Raw genomic sequence first — 15451 nt, 5'->3', positions numbered from 1 at the left:
TGCCGTCTTCTACCTGACTTTCCGTGACCCACAAGCCTCCCTCTTCTTCCTGCTGCAATGGAGCCTCTGGTTCCCAAGTCCCTTTCTTCACCTCTCCCTTCCATACACGTCTTTCAGATAGTGCACAGAGGGGCTCCCCTGGCTCCTAAACTCGTAAGTGGCTCCCCAAGTCACACTCCCTTCAGTACTTAGTGTTTTGTGCTCAGTGCTGTGTGTGAGGTTAATTCACAGTGAGGCCTGCAGCTCTGTGCCTCCCAGCTCTTACACATGCCTCAGTCCTTCCAACTACTCTTCTGTCCCTGAACGCCATTCCCAGGATTTCAACTTCCCCAGCTGTTCCGTATATTAAGTGGGTTGTCACAGGGGAAACACAGGTTGCAGGGCCCGGCCTGTGTCTGCCAGGCTCACATGCTGTGTCTCCCTAGAGGAAGCTGCACAGGGGCCTCCTTGAGTATGCGGGGCACCACTCTCTAGGGTGTCTATGGGGGAACAGAAGCACCGGGCCGAGGCCACGCCCAGCCTGAGGTTTACCGGCGTGGATTCTCCATCAGCAGGTGCATGCGTCGCACGTGTTATTTTAGCCAGTCCTGCCCAGCGGTGTGGATGGGCATTTTGTTGCAGTTTTCATTTGTATTTCCTGTTGGCAGATATTCCATTGGCCAAGGAAATGGAGAGGGACAGGGACAAAGGTTGGGAAAGGGCCTGGTGGGGCCTGTAGACCCCGAGGCCCATAGGCACTGGGAGTGGCAGCGGGACGCTGAGGCAGTGTAGGAGGGGCCTGGTCTGGTGCAAGTCCAGGTGCAGGGGCCATGTTAGAAGCATCAGTCAGGGCAGCTGCAATGGCCGGTGGGACAGATGGCCACACTGAGGCCTGGGGCTTTTCTCCATCCCCCTGCCTCCAGCCCCAAGCGCCCTGGGACTTCCTGATGTTGGAATCCCCCTTCTTACAAGCCTCATTTCTGAACCCCTAGAGCACCTCTCTCAGCCAGGTGAACTCTGAGTAAATGAATGACTGAAGGGATGGATGGATGGATGGATGGATGGATGGATAGATGGATGGATAGATGGGTAGATGGATGAATGGATGGATGGATGGATGGATGGATAGATGGGTGGATGGATGGATGGATAGATAGATGGATGGATAGATGGATGGATAGATGGGTGGATGGATGAATGGATGGATAGATGGATGGATGGATAGATGGGTGGATGGATGGATGGATGGATGGATGGATGATAGATGGGTGGATGGATGAATGGATGGATGGATAGATGTATAAATGGATAGATGGGTGGATGGATGGATGGATGCATGGATGGATGGATGGATGGATGAACAGACCAGTCATGAAAAGCTTCTCTTAGGAGGCAGGCAGTTAGCTGTTTTGGGGATGAGGTCTCAGGATGACCAGGGCACACAGGGATGGGCTTTTGACTCCCTGTCCTCTCAGCTCTCCTTGTCCCCAAGCAGGACAGGTGACAGGCCAGGTGCAGCCCCTCACCCTTTGACTCCCGCATGTGGTGCTCTTGGTCAAGGCTCTAGGTCAGGTCCAAGGATGGTGCTGCAGTGGGGCTGGAAGGAGCGTCCCAATGGGAGGGATGCGGTCTCCGTGGAGGACACACGTGGTGGCAGCAGTCCCTGGGGTGGTGCAAAGGGTCTGCCTGATGACCAAGCCCAGCAAAGGGGAATCAGGAGCAAGTCAGAAATAAGCTGGTGCAGCCCAGGATCAGCACAGCATGACCTGCGAGGCAGTGAACTGTCTGCCCCCTGCCTAGCCTCAGGCCATTCCCCTTCCCCAGGTGCTCCCTGTGTACCTGAGACAGAGCCTGCAGAGAGGAAGGCGGTTGAGAGAGTGCCTCAGGCTTTCCCTAGTGCCCTGTCCAAGGCCTGGCTCCAGGGCACACTGCCCCCAGCCATCTCCCCACACAGCCCACTGGCAGGACGGGCGGGGGGCTGGGAAGCCTTGTGGCCCACGACGTGACTCAGCCTGAGATGCCTGCCGGTGACTGCAGAACACTGCCTGCCAGATTAAATTAGGCGCCTCAACATTAAAAATATATATTTATTTTAACTGGTTGGGGTGTTTGGAAGGAGATGAAAGGGAGGGGAGATGAAGAATTACAAATGAGATAATTAAGGAAGCAGAGAGGAGCGCGTGCCGAAATGGGAGTGAGGAGGTGAATTGTGAATTCCCCGCGCTGCACCAATTTAGAGGGTAGAAAAAGGAGTTAGAAGCAAAGAGGAAAAAATAAATAAACAGGCAACAAAAACCCAACCCAGCCAGCCTGAGCCATTTGCATTAGTGTTCATTTAGGAAATTAGCAGACGGGAAACGCTGGGGAGTGGAGTGGGCCCCGGCCTTGGGGACTGCAGAGCCCGCTCAGCCCTGGGTGGCTGGGCCCACATGGGCTGTGCCCCAGGAGCACAGGAGGACCCAGAGGGTGGCCGAGGGAGCCTCGCCGGGCTCCGGTATGGGTCCTGGCCCCTCACAGGTGCGAGCCTGGCCCAGTGACTGTGGACGCTGTGGGAGAGCAGGCCTCCGATACGCAGGGCTGGGACTGCTGACCTGGAAGGTGGTGCCGGGCGTGTCTGGTGAAGGCGCCGTTGGCAGCTAGAGAGAGACGGCGGATGGGGTGACGCCATTACCCACGGTCCCAGTTTTGAGGCTTGACGGTGACGGAAAAGGACGTCGGTGCTGGCCACGGCTGCTGTGGAGGTGGTGCTGAAGCTGATGGGGGTGGCACGAGGTTTGTCAGGAGGACAGTGAAGACGCTGTGCCGATGGAGTGTGCCCAGAAAGACGGCGAGGGGGCCGTCAGGAGGGGCAGCCCTGGTGCTGGTGTTGGCAGGTGACGAGAATCACAGAGGTGCCGTGGAGAAAGGGAGCGAGGATCTTCCCCGAGGCAGGGCGGGCTCCAATCCCAGCTCCAACCCTGAAAAGCCCTGGGCCAGTCCCCACAGTCAAGCCCTGGGCCAGTCCCCACAGTCACGGTCACGCGCGTACAGCCAGAATATCCCACGTGGGAAGAACCGAGGGCCTGGGGGTGGGAGGGAAAGCAGGCTCCGTGCTGAGGCAGGCTGGCAGTGACGCAGGTGGAGGTGGCTGAGAGAGGACAGACGACGCAGGTAATGACGGAGGAGGCGTCCCTCCACAGGGCCAGGCTCGCCATGGGCCTGGGCAGAAGGCACTGTTGGATCCAGCCGCTAACATGGGTAGGTCCACAGCTCAGAGCCCAGATCCTTGGCCAGGATCTGTGGGGGCCCAGGGCATGCCACCAAGGCTATGATGAGGATGTACTCGTACACACACAGACTCTGTGTGTGTAAGGAACGCAATCTCAGCACACGCCCACGTGCACGCCCTCCAGTGCCACATCCCAGCCTGCACTCCCTGCAGTGTCTGGAGTGTGTCAGGCAGGCGATGTGGGTCACGAACGGGCTTGTGTAACTCATTGTAACTCATCCCCCCGGGCTGACCTCCGTAGTACCAGAGGTCGCTGGTGACTTGCTGGCCCCAGATTTAGAGGGTGTGAAGAACAGCAGCTCCCCAAATCCTGAAGAGGTGGAGAAGGTTGTTTTCCCAAAAATAAAAGGAATAAAAGACACAGGCTGTCTCCTGCCCCATCCCTGTCCCTGGCCTGGAGGAATGGAGGCCACATGGGCGGAGGCCGGTGAGCCGTGCTTGGAACTTGCTGATCTGAGACATTCCACACCTTCCCTCCCTTCAGCCACCACGTGCCCCCAAGCATGGTACCTCACCAGCACCAACGGCAGCGAGGGTCTGCACCAGGTTGGTTGGCACAGACATTGGGATTGTGGGACAAAGGAAATCTGGGAGAGGAGGGGGCTTGGCTCTCTGAGACTCCCGTGAAACTGAGGTCCCGCTGGGCCCCAGGGAGGAGCCCCCTGCTCTCTCCCAGAGCAGAGATCTGGAGCTTGCCAACCACCTCCCCAGCACTCCCCTGGGCTTCAGCCACACCAGCCCCTCTACCCGCCTACCCACCAACCCCAGCTCTGAAGCCTGACCACCTGAGGATGTGCAAATCTCCCTGCCTACTGAAGTCTTTAGTCTTTGGTTGGGAATCCAGGTAGGGGTGAAAAGGGGAGGCCCATCCTGCAGAGGGGGAAGGGTGTGGTGCTGGGTTGGCCTGGGGACTGGTTCAAGTCCTGCACAGCCTGAGGCATGGGGGACCCAGAGCTGGATTCCTGACCTCTGCCCCCAGCCATAGCTAAACCCAAGGCTGGCGGGGGCCTGGCAAGCTCTGCTACGGATGGCCGAGGAGGGCATGGCCCTCTCTTGTGGTGTCAGCTGGTCTCCCTCAGGTCTGGCTGGACCCTGGCTCACCCCACGCCCCTTGCACTTCTGCCTCCACTAAATCTGTATGGAGAGTAGGGCATATTGGCGTGTGCCTGTATGCACACCCTCATGTGTATATGTGTGCACCACGTGTATACATGGGTGGGTACATGCATGTGCACACATGTTCAAGTGTACACGTGCAGCTTTGCGCATGCTCCTCGTGTGTGTAGGAGCATACAACATGCAGACACTCTGCGTACATGTGTGCACCCACTTGTATATACAGAATGCATATGCAAGTGCACACGTGTGTGTGCGTGGACATGATATGAGCATAAGGGCACGTGCACATGTACACCACACGCACATGGTGTACACATGGGTGTACAGGGCATGTGAATACACACATGGGGTGCAGGCATGTGCACCGGCATGTAAACACAGAGGTGCACACAGAGCCCATGTGTATATGCAAGTGCACATGTTTGTGTATCCTGTGTGCATGTGGTCAGAGGAAGGCAGCCCTGGGAAAGCTGGGAGGTGCGGTAACTAAATCTGAAGGGTACAGAGAGGCCATGCCATGCTTTCCACAGTTCCAGGGAAGGTGTGAGGTGCTCCCTGAGAATTTTAAATTGGGCCAAATGGAGCCTGGCAAAGGGCCCTGGGGTTGGGACCCAGGGGCTGCCAGGTTATCAGTCCAGGGGGTACCAGCTCTCCTCCTGGTCTGAGGACCTGTCCCCCATGCCCTCACCCACAGTATGGAGCACCCTTCCCTCCTTTCTCCCAGTGGGGCTCCTCCTCTAGGAAGTCTGCCTGGGTTCCCCAGGCTCACAGGCCAGCTGAAACACATGACTCTCCCACTGTATGTGTTGGGAAGTTTTCAGTGGCCTGTAACAGAAAACCCATAACAGAAAACCCAACTCAAGCTGGCTGAAACCACATGCAAGCAGATGGTGGATGGTGGATTAGCCTAAGCAAATGGAAAACCTGATGCTGTTGCGGGTTTTGGATGAAGCGTGATGGGGCCGCAGCTCTGCTCCTCTGACTCTCCATACTTTGCTTCTTTCCGACGTGTTGACTTGGCCTTCACGATGGCTCACTCCACGGAGCAGGATGACGTCAGCGTCTCTGGCCCTCAACTGCATCCCACACTGTTCCTCCTCATCTCTGTCTTATACCTCATGGTCCAAGGTGACTGCTGGAGCTCCAGCTGTCACACTCACCTTCTGTCCATCAGGAAGGAGCAGAGGAGAAGAGCGGCCTACACTGCTCTTTAAGGGTACTTCCTGGAGGTTGCACACATCACTTCCTATGCATCCCATCGGTCAGAAATTAGTCAGGCTGTGAAGTGAAGTCTTTATTCTGGCAACTACTCACCCAGCTTAAGACCCAGGATTCTATTCCCCAGGGGCCACTGGCAGCTCATGCTACAGATGCCACCTCCTAGGAATGTTTGGACTATTAGAGGCCAGATCACCCAGCACAGGGCCCACCCTTGGTGGTCAGCGTTTCCCATGGCTGCCTCCTGGGGGCCGTGGACTCTGAGATGACCCATACACTGTCCTACTCACAGTCAACCCACCGTCTGGTCGGGGGAGACAAACCTCGGACCCAGGGCAGGGGGTGGCCGCAGAGATGGAGAAATGCAGAGGGAGCTGTGGGATCCCTTCTTCAGATACTCCGGGCAGGAAGGAGGCAGGGCAGGCCAGGACAGGGAAGACCTCCCTGGTGGGCATGGGGTCTGTGCTCCGCATACCATCCGACGGCGTCGCTGTGACAGCAGCCCAATGCGGGCTGTCCAGATGACAGAGTGGCTGGCCTGCCGTGGACACAGGAGGGAGAACAAAGCGGGCAGGAAAGCCCAGGGTCCTGGGGCCAGCGCCTGCCCGGTGTCCACAGGCTGGTGTCCCCAGCCTCCACACTCACCCACCTGTCCTGCCCAGCCAGCCCCCGGCAGCCAGACCTCGCCCACGCTGCTGTGTCCTGCTCTCATTGCCTCGCCCCGGATCCTAAGAGCCACGGGTGCTCGTTCTCACTCACCGGCCATGCAGGGAGCTGAAGTGTCATTTAATTAATTAACAGGTCCTCTGCGGCAGCGGGGAGCAAGTTTTCAGCACAACCCAGTTTGACTGCTACACAAGGAGCACTTGGCAGGCAGGCACCTGAGTCCTGGCCTCCGCCCCAGAACGTCTGTTAGTGCAAAGCCAGTTCCCTCCCTAGACGCCCCCCATGCAGGGGCCTGCAGAGAACCTGAGGAGCTCCTGCTTCGATTTCAGGCTCCCACCCGGCACCCTGGCTGTCCTCACCCTGGGCACCGCAGATGCAGGCAGATGGTACACAGTGTTGGTAAAGAACTGGTCTGAAGGCAGAGCTGCACACTGGGAGGGTGACCACTGGCTGCAGGCGGCCCTGCATCCAAACCCAGCCCCTCCTGGACCCACCCCTGCCCTCTGGCTCAGCCTCTAGTCTGGCTCGCTCATCTGTAAAGTGGGGGCAAACATCCCTGCCCCAAGCATGTGCAGATAAATGAGGTGCCTTTCCAGGACCTGGCAGGGGCCAGTGGAGAGTAGATGCTCAGTAAACCCCAGATCCCATCCCTCATTTACTTTGGAGAGCTTCCAGTCTAAGGGGAGGGTGGCCCTGCTGTCAGAGAGCCAGATAGGAAAGACAGAGCAGAGTGAGAAGGCAGAAAGTGGAGGCCAGGAGGAATGCTAGTGTCAGGGGTGCTCAGGGCTGGCTGCTGAGTCCACCGGGCCAATGTCACCATCAGTCATGTCATAGGATGACATCAGAGCCCCTGCCCTGAATGCTCCCTGGAGGAATGTTCCAGAAGCTTGGCCTTCCATGGGTTCCAGTCCTTCTCTGGCTCTGTGGCCTTTCTTCTAAGACAATTTTAAAAATTTAATTCACATGTGGAGTTCTATGAGTTTACACGTACAATTTTTTTGTAGAGATGGGGTCTTGCTATGTTGCTCAGGCTGGCCTCAAACTTCTGGCTTCAAGTGATCCTCCTGCCTTGGCCTCCTATAGTGCTGGGCTCGCAGGTGTGTGCCCCATGCCCGGCCTGTGTTTATATGTAACCATCACCACCATGAGGATACAGAACAGTTTCTTCCCCTGCCCTGTGCCTTCTGCCTGCAGTTGCACCTCCTCCTGCCCCTGCCCCCTGCAACTCCATTGCTGTACATCTGCCTTCCTGAGAATGTCATGTGGGTGGAGTGGCACGTACGCCTCCTGTGGAGGCTGGCTTCTCTCACTCAGCATAACACCATTGGCAACCACCATGTTGTTGCATATCCCAGAAGTTCGTTTCTGTTTCTGTTCACCACTGAGCTCTATCTTGCAGTGTGGATGGATCACAACTTGTTAAGTCGCTCACCTGTTGAAAGATTTGAGTACTTTCCGATTTAGGGCTAATACAAATAAAGGTGCTATGAACATTTGTGCACAAGTTTTTGTGAATATAAGATTTTGCTTAACTTAGGTGAGTACCTCGAATGGGATTTCTGGTCCCTGTGGCAAACGCACGTCTAACTTGCTAAGAAACTGCCAACCTGTCTTCCAGCGTGGCTGAGCCATTTTGCATTTCCATTGTAATGTGACTGAATTCCGGTTGCCTTGAGTTCTTGCCAACACTTAGTAGGGTTAGTATTTTTTTTTAACCCCATTCTTTTTTTTTTTTTTTTGAGGTGGAGTCTTGCTCTGTCGCCCAGGCTGGAGTGCAGTGGTGTAATCTCAGCTCACTGCAACCTCAGCCTCCTGTGTTCAAGCGATTCTCCTGCCTCAGCCTCCTGAGTAGCTGGGATTACAGGCATGCACCACCATGCCCAGCTAATTTTTGTATTTTTAGTAAAGACGACGGGGTTTCTCCTTGTTGGCCAGGCTGGTCTTGAACTCCTGACCTCAGGTGATCTGCCCACCTAGGCCTCCTAAAGTGCTGGGATTACAGGCGTGAGCCACCACTCCCGTATTTTAGCCATTCTAGTAGGTGTGGAATAACATCTCCTTGTGGTTTGAATTCGTATTTCCTTAATGATGAATGATGTAGAATATCTTTCCATGTGCATATTTACCATCCAAATATCCCCTTTCTTGAACTTTGTTGAGGTCTTTTTCCCTTTTTTCCCCCTTAACTTTTTATTTCAAAATAATGATAGATGCACAGGAAGTTGTAAAAATAGTACAGAAAGAGAGTTCACTTAGTTTCACTTCATCTGAGAATGTCTGTATTTCACCTTCACTCCTGAAGACTGTTTTACTGGGTATAGAATTCTAGGCCGTAGTTCTTTCCTTTCAGCATGAAAATTTTCCTCTGCTTCCATCTAGCCTCTGTGGTTTCTGATGAGACATCCAAAGTCATTTGGAGAATTTTTCCTGTTATAAATAATTCATTACTTTTTTCTGCTTTCAAGATTTTTTCTTTGTCTTTTGTTTTTAGCAGATTGATTTGATGTGTCTGGAAATAAATCTCTTTGGATTTATACTGCTTGGGGTTCACGGATCTTTTGTATCTGTAGGCTTGTTTTTACTAAATTTGAGAAGTTTGCAACCATTATTTCTTCAAATATTTGTTTTTGTATTATATTTCTCCTCTCCCTGTGGGCCCTGATTGTATGAATGTTAGACTTTGATATCCTTCCACAGGTCCCACAGGTCTTTCACTCTTTTTATCCCCTGTTGTTTATACTGGGTACTTTCTATTGACCCATGTTCATGTTCACTAATTTCTTCTGTCATCCCCATCCTGCTATTGAGCTTGTACCACAAGTATTTTTGTTTTGGTTAGGCAATTTTCAGTTCCAATGTTTTTATTTGATTCTTCTTTCTCTCCCTCCCCCTCTTGCTGAGTTTTCTATGTTTCCATTTATTTCAAGAGTGTTTGCCTTTACTTGTTGGATCATTTTTATAATAGTTGCTTTTAAGTCTTTGTTTGAATCCTAACAACTGTGCCATCTTGAGTTGGCTTCTGTTTATTGTTTTGTTTCATGCAAAACACAAGTTGTCATTTTCCTGTCCTTCATATGCCAAGTCATTTTGGATCATATCCTGGAAAATTTGAATATTATTGTATAAGGCCTTGGATCTGGTCTAAATCCTGTGGAGATGGAGATAACTCTTGTTTTAGCAGGCAATCTCCCCAGCTTCCTGGATGCAAGTAGTTCTTCTCCTTCTCCATCTCTGTTGCCTTCTCCTTCTCTTTCTCCTCCTCCTTCTCCTCCTCCTTGTCCTTCTTCTTCTTGAGACAGAGTCTTGCTCTGTTGCCCAGCCCAGTCTGGAGTGCAGTGTTGTGATCATAGCTCACTGTAACCTTGATCTCCTGGGCTCAAACAATCTTCTCACCTCTGCCTCCCAATTAGCTAGGACTACAGGTATGCACCACCATGCCTGGCAAATTTTTAAAAATTCTTATGGAGATTGAGTCTCACTCTGGGTTTGAGACCCAGGCTGATCTCAAATTCCTCACTTCAAGTGATTCTCCTGCCTTGGCCTCCCAAAGTGTTGGGATTATGGCATGAGCCAGCACACCTGGCCCTGGCTGCAAGTTCTGACCTGTCTTTCATGGGCTGTGATTTCTATGATATTCATATCTGTCCTGTGTGTGAATACCCCATGGCCATTCTGCAACTTGGGCAGTGTCTACCCCACAGATGGTTTCTCCAAGTGTGTGGTATGCTGTTTAGGGTCCACGCATGCTCAGCTTGGGACTGGTCCTAGACAATCATAAACAACTTGATGATGTCCCCTTCCCAAGCTTCCTCAGTGCCCTCTTATACCTCTGTTCACTGGGATTTCCTCTTGTGGTCTTCTGGCCAAAAGGAAGGTTTCCATTAGGACACTGCTCCATGCACTCCCCATGTGTGGGCCAAGTGGGATGAGGATAGAGGGAAAAACAAAAAATTCAGGCTCACCCCATCTTCCTGTGAGCTCAGATCCTCTGATTAGAGAGGAAGTTTCCCTCCTGGGGTCTGTAAATGCCTGGGGCCCGCCTGCTGCCCTGCCTGTAGGACACTGCACTTGGGTTGCCTGGGGCTGGGGTGTGAGATAACAGAAAGGGACAAAAGAAATGGAAATCTCTCCCCCACTCTTTCCGTGTTAGGAGCCAGAGCTGGAAGGAGCTTCTTCCATCTTCCTCTGTTGGTGCTGATGCCCACTTCCAGACTCAGGCCACCTTGAGTCCAGGCTGGAGGACACCAGTGGGGAGAAAGGAGGAGACTTACCATGGGCTTGGGGCTGCTTCAGATGTAAATTTTCCTCCCCAGTTCACCCGCTAGCATTGACTTTTGAGAGTCCTCAGGCAGCTGCTGCCTGTCCAGGTTCATAGCCTCATTCTGTGGGGGAGGAAGCTGGCGTGTGTGTGCTCCACCTTACCCAGAACCAGAGCCCGGGGTACTTTTACACAGACTCTCCCTCCCCACTGCCTCCACTGCCCAGGGGCTCCCGCCTGTTCCCAAACAGGAGGAAAAGGAAAAAGAGGGCAGGGTTCGTCCCCTCCATCCCTTTTCCATCTTCCAAACAATGAAAAGCCACAGATTCTCCAACTGTGGATAGTTTGAGGCTGGAGGCCATGGCAGCGCCCGCCAACCTCGCCAGGATTCCAGTTCAGGCAGGAGCTGGACACAAGGGCTCTGTTTCTCCTGGGGCTTCTCTTGCGTCTAGACTGCTACAAACAAACCCTTTGGCCTGATTAGCCTCTGTGTGCTCCACCACCCAGAAAACCCTTTGGCGGCTGGGATGGCGGTGAAGGCAGGGCCCAGATGTGCCCCAGTGGGTGCTCCCACCCTCCGCAAGACAGAGACTCAGAGAGGCTTCCAGACCCCAAGAGCCATGGTGAGGCTACCAGAGAAGGCGAAGTGAGAACGGGCCTTCATGGAGAGGGATGGACCAAAGGGCAGGGACAGCAAAGGGTCCTGGTGACACTGAGCACATCCCTAGCTCCAGGCCTAGCTCTGGGACTCAGGCCCAGGAGCCAACATCCCTGGCCTGAAGAGCCTTCTCCACCTGCACACCAGAGCTCTGCACTGTCTCCTCCCGCAGCACCCCCCTCTAGCCCCAAGGCCCCTGCTGCACCTGCTGCATCTGCTGCACCTGCTGCTGCACCTGGACCTGCCCCACGCCCTCCTGACCTCTCAGCCCCCAACTTCTAGGTCTCCTTGACTCCATTCCAATGTGGCTCACCTCCTTTCTCTGCTTCACAGCCCCACTCTCACCTCCCAGGTGTGGCCACGCCTCTGCCTAGCCTTGCACTCTCACCTCCCAGGTGTGGCCACGCCTCTGCCTAGCCTTGCACTCTCACCTCCCAGGTGCGGCCACATCTCTGCCCAGCCTTGACATTTTGTGCTATCCATACCCCTGCCCCAGGGCATCCCACCCCAACCCTGCAGGGAGAGCATGAGGGCTGGCAGAGGCTGTGGCCCAGAAAAGCCAGGACCTGGGCTCTGAGCAGCCTAACCCAGGGGTCTCGAGGCCTCTGGGGAGGCCTGGGCTGCCTATGGTGGGGCTCGGTCACTTTGCCCCTTCCAGCCTCAGTCTCCCCATCCATAAGACATGGGGAACCAGGACTACAAGTTTCTGAGGACTCTGCCCAGCATTGCAGGACAGGGTCACCCAACTCCTACCTCAATGCCATGGCCACTTTGCCTGGGCGGGCAGGGCAGGACACCCAGGGCCCCAAGGCAGAAAGAGGTTCACTGGGGAGGGTGGGGGAGCCTGGGGCTGAGGGGTGAGCAGGTCTGGCTGCAGGGCTTGAGAGGAGCTGGGACCTCCCCTGGTTTATGCTAATGAAGTGACACCGCCCGCCCACCAGGAGCTTCAGGGGCTGCCTGGGAGTGCATTCACATGCCTGCGGTGGGGCAGGGGAGCCCCAGGGACAGCTGGTTCTGGCTTCTCTCCTGGGCTGTGCCATTTCTCTCATTCAGTCACTCAACAAAGTAGGAGCAGAGTCACACTCCTTCTGCATGCCTGGCACAGTGTGGGGTAAAGGGCCTGCCACAGGAGCAAATGGGACAGGGGGCCCGCCACGGTGTAGCCAATGCACCGGCCAAGCTCAGCCTGCTCTCTGTGCCTCGGCAGTGTCCCTCTGCCCCCTCTGCCCTGCGCAGACCTGGCCTCCTGGGGCTCCCGCTCCACCCAGGGGAGCCGCGGCAGCTCCGGCAATGGCCATGTCCCCTCCTACAGGCTTCATCCCTCCTTCAGGGCCTCCTACAGAGCCTCGCCATGGGACCCTGGTTGGCTGATGGCCAGAGACCCCAGCACTGCTTCCTAGAGCCAGGGGTGGTGGGCTGTGATGGCTAGAAGCACCTCTCAGCCCTTGGCAGCTACTCTCCAACCTCTTTGTGGCTTGCACACCCCGAGCAGTGTTCAGCCTCACAGGGCCCAAGAAGCCCTTTAGTTTCCAAGCAGGCCCCACTTCCCAGAGCTCACCACAGCCGGGTTAGCTGCAGATCTCCACTCAGAGGGGAACAGAGCCCAACTCAAGCCTGTTCAAGCAAAAAAGGAACTAGGACCCCGTACATTCCCTGAAACAACTAGCTGCAGGTCTGGGTGGATCCAGCAGCTTGTGGGGGCGGGGCTTGGGGTCCCATCTTGCTCCCCAGCTCTCCAACGAGCTCCCCACTGCTGGCAGGCAGGCTGGTGGCACCAGGCCTTCAAGATGCATGCTCACCAATGCAGTAGCCCCCGCCGAAAGTGTCAGAAAAGGCTGGGAGGCCCCGACCTCGGGAGCATCAGGAAGCGTCCACCCAATTCAAACAGACTGGGGTCCCCATGGGAAAGCAGGCTTCTGCCTGGAGCAGATTCTGAGGTGGGCGTTTGCCTGATGGATGTTTACTGGGGAAAGCTGGTAGGGGCAGCTCCTGTGAGGAGGCAGAGCGGGAGAATGGACTGGGTGCTGTGGTCCTGGGGCCTCGGCCAGCCCCATAACGGCCCCTGGAGCTGGGATGCCCCTGCAGAGCTGTGCCAACCTGGGGCGAGAGGTCCAGGACTGTGTCAGCCAGTCCCGGGGGTTAGGCTGCCCTTGGGTGGGGGCAGCGAGGACATTGCTTCCAGTCAAAGGCCATTCCCTGAGAGGGACCCAGCTAGGAGCTGGCAGCAAGTGACTCTCAGCAGTGGGAACAGGGTCTTCATGGAGGCCATTCCAAGTCCAAGGCCGGGCAGGGGACAGGCTTGGAGCCGGAAAGCAAGCACTCCCGAGGCTTCTGCCAGCCTGGGCAGCTCTCCACGGGGGGTCCAATTGGCTGTTTGTGGCTCCCTTGCCCACCTGAAGCCTGAGGCTCATGTGGGCTTGACTTACAACAGCTGAACTCAAAGCAAAAATAGAGGACGGAACGCAGCCGGGGGAAGAGCCAGGCTCTCAGGAAGACATGGGAGCGGGGAGCCCACACAGGGAGGACCGCACACATCCTAACATCAGCACAGCCCTCGGCAGCGTGCAAAGCCCTCACAATAGCCCTGTGACGTGCATGGGACCCGCGCTGTGGGATGTCGGAAAGGGAGAGTTAAAGCCGGGGAAATTCCAGAGGAGGGCTGGAGGACAGATCCTGCCTGGGGTTTCAGGATTCTGGAAGCTCCTCCTACCTCGGGGCCCTGCTGAACCTGACTCCGGTCACGCAGGTGGCCGGGGACCCTGCTGAACCTGACTCCGGCCACGCAGGTGGCCCGGGACCCTGCTGAACCTGACTCCGGCCATGCAGGTGGTCTGGGGATGGGAGGCAGACAGGCCGCACTGGGGGAGACCCTGCTCCAAGCTCAGAGGGGTGCTGGCTGCCAGCGCAGGAGTGAGCACAGGGCTCCACTGACACCCAGCTGTCCAGCTGTCCTGGGCCCAGCCCTGTCTGGGTCCCTGGCCCCTGCCCCCTTACCCATCCCACCCCAGGCTTTGTACCCAGCTGGGAGGCAGAGACCACGCTGCGAAGCACTGCAGTGACTCACGCGGCTCCTCCTCACTTTATTTTTATCTCCATCGAGCCCTATAAATACAGCAATGATCACCAAATACAGTCAATATTCCCAGCGCCTCCCGCCCCCGGCGCTGGCCCACCGTCACCAGGGGGAGGCCAGTGAGCGGCCCATCCACACAGCAGGGGCACCAAACGGCGGAGCGGCGGGTCCCCGGCTTCCCCCAGGACAGACCCGCATCCCCTTGCCTGGATGGTCTGGGATCCCCCTTCTTTCTTCTCAGTTCTGGTGCCAAGCACGAATAGTGTATTTTCCTCTGCTGGGGACCTGGCTGTCTGTTTTCCTGTCTGAGACAGGAGTGAGAATCAGGGTGGGTTGTGTGCGGTCGGCTCCCAGTGTCTGCTCCGGGTGGTGGGGTGGGCAGGGGCTTTGCTGGTGTTGGTCGCTGCTGCCCTCCAGTGCCTGGGTCAAGGTCCTTGATGAATGTTTTTGGGGTGAGTGAAGGACTGAGCGAGTGCATGGATGGCCTGAGAGCACAGCCTCGCGTGCCCGGGATGAGGGGCTGGGTGGGGATGATGCCACAGTGCTCATCAGAGCACCTGCTGCCCCTCACCTCCCTGCAGCCACTGGACAAGACAGGAATGGTCCCTGTCCCCACCACAGATGGGAAGGCCTCCTTACCTCTGTCAAGGCATGGATGGAAGCTGGGGCCTGGAGGCCAACCTCGCAGGGTGGACGGGAGGCACCCAGGTTGAGGTCGGGGCTTGGAAACCCAAAATTCCACACACATGGCCCCCAATCTGTGCCAAGCTTCACAGACATATTTCCACATGGTTGGTCTCAAGTGCCCGTTTCCTGGACAAGAAAGTGAGGCCCAGAGAGGTAGAGTGACTTGTTCAAGGTCACACAGCAAGAGAGAGCTGAGGTTTGAACCCAAGCTTGCTGAGATTTTTGTCCACGCCCAGGGATGAAGCTCCTAGTGCCTTCAGAATCTGAGTCTCACCTGGGTGAGGCCAGGCCGGTGGGGAAGGCCACTGCCCAGCCACTCAGACAGGCTCAGGGCCCTCAGCTGCTGTCCCCCACCACTGCCACTGGTGCCCCCCATTAGCCCCTGTCCACCGGGTCCCCACAGCCTGAAGTCCTGCCCCAGGCCCCTCTCTGTCACCGTGAGCTCCATACACACTAGGGGGAAGAAGGGAGGGGTAGTCCTCCATGCCAGAGAATCATGGGGTCACACGGAGCTGCAGAGGTGCC

The 15451-nt window shown here is 56.0% G+C and overlaps 3 annotated features.

The window, feature by feature from the left end:
- Nucleotides 2781-3555: an enhancer, noted in NCBI's record as "H3K4me1 hESC enhancer chr8:143508526-143509300 (GRCh37/hg19 assembly coordinates)". NCBI's record gives its function as "activates a minimal SCP1, AML or CMV promoter by ChIP-STARR-seq in naive H9 embryonic stem cells {active_cell/tissue: H9 hESC(naive)}" and the evidence as "EXISTENCE:reporter gene assay evidence [ECO:0000049][PMID:30033119]".
- Nucleotides 12893-13882: an enhancer, noted in NCBI's record as "H3K27ac-H3K4me1 hESC enhancer chr8:143498199-143499188 (GRCh37/hg19 assembly coordinates)". NCBI's record gives its function as "activates a minimal SCP1, AML or CMV promoter by ChIP-STARR-seq in naive and primed H9 embryonic stem cells {active_cell/tissue: H9 hESC(naive and primed)}" and the evidence as "EXISTENCE:reporter gene assay evidence [ECO:0000049][PMID:30033119]".
- Nucleotides 13883-14874: an enhancer, noted in NCBI's record as "H3K27ac-H3K4me1 hESC enhancer chr8:143497207-143498198 (GRCh37/hg19 assembly coordinates)". NCBI's record gives its function as "activates a minimal SCP1, AML or CMV promoter by ChIP-STARR-seq in naive H9 embryonic stem cells {active_cell/tissue: H9 hESC(naive)}" and the evidence as "EXISTENCE:reporter gene assay evidence [ECO:0000049][PMID:30033119]".

This window comes from Homo sapiens, chromosome 8, assembly GCF_000001405.40.
Source record: "Homo sapiens chromosome 8, GRCh38.p14 Primary Assembly".
Classification (NCBI taxonomy): domain Eukaryota; kingdom Metazoa; phylum Chordata; class Mammalia; order Primates; family Hominidae; genus Homo; species Homo sapiens.
Note: the sequence above shows the minus strand (reverse complement) of the source record. Positions and strands in the feature narration are given on the sequence as shown.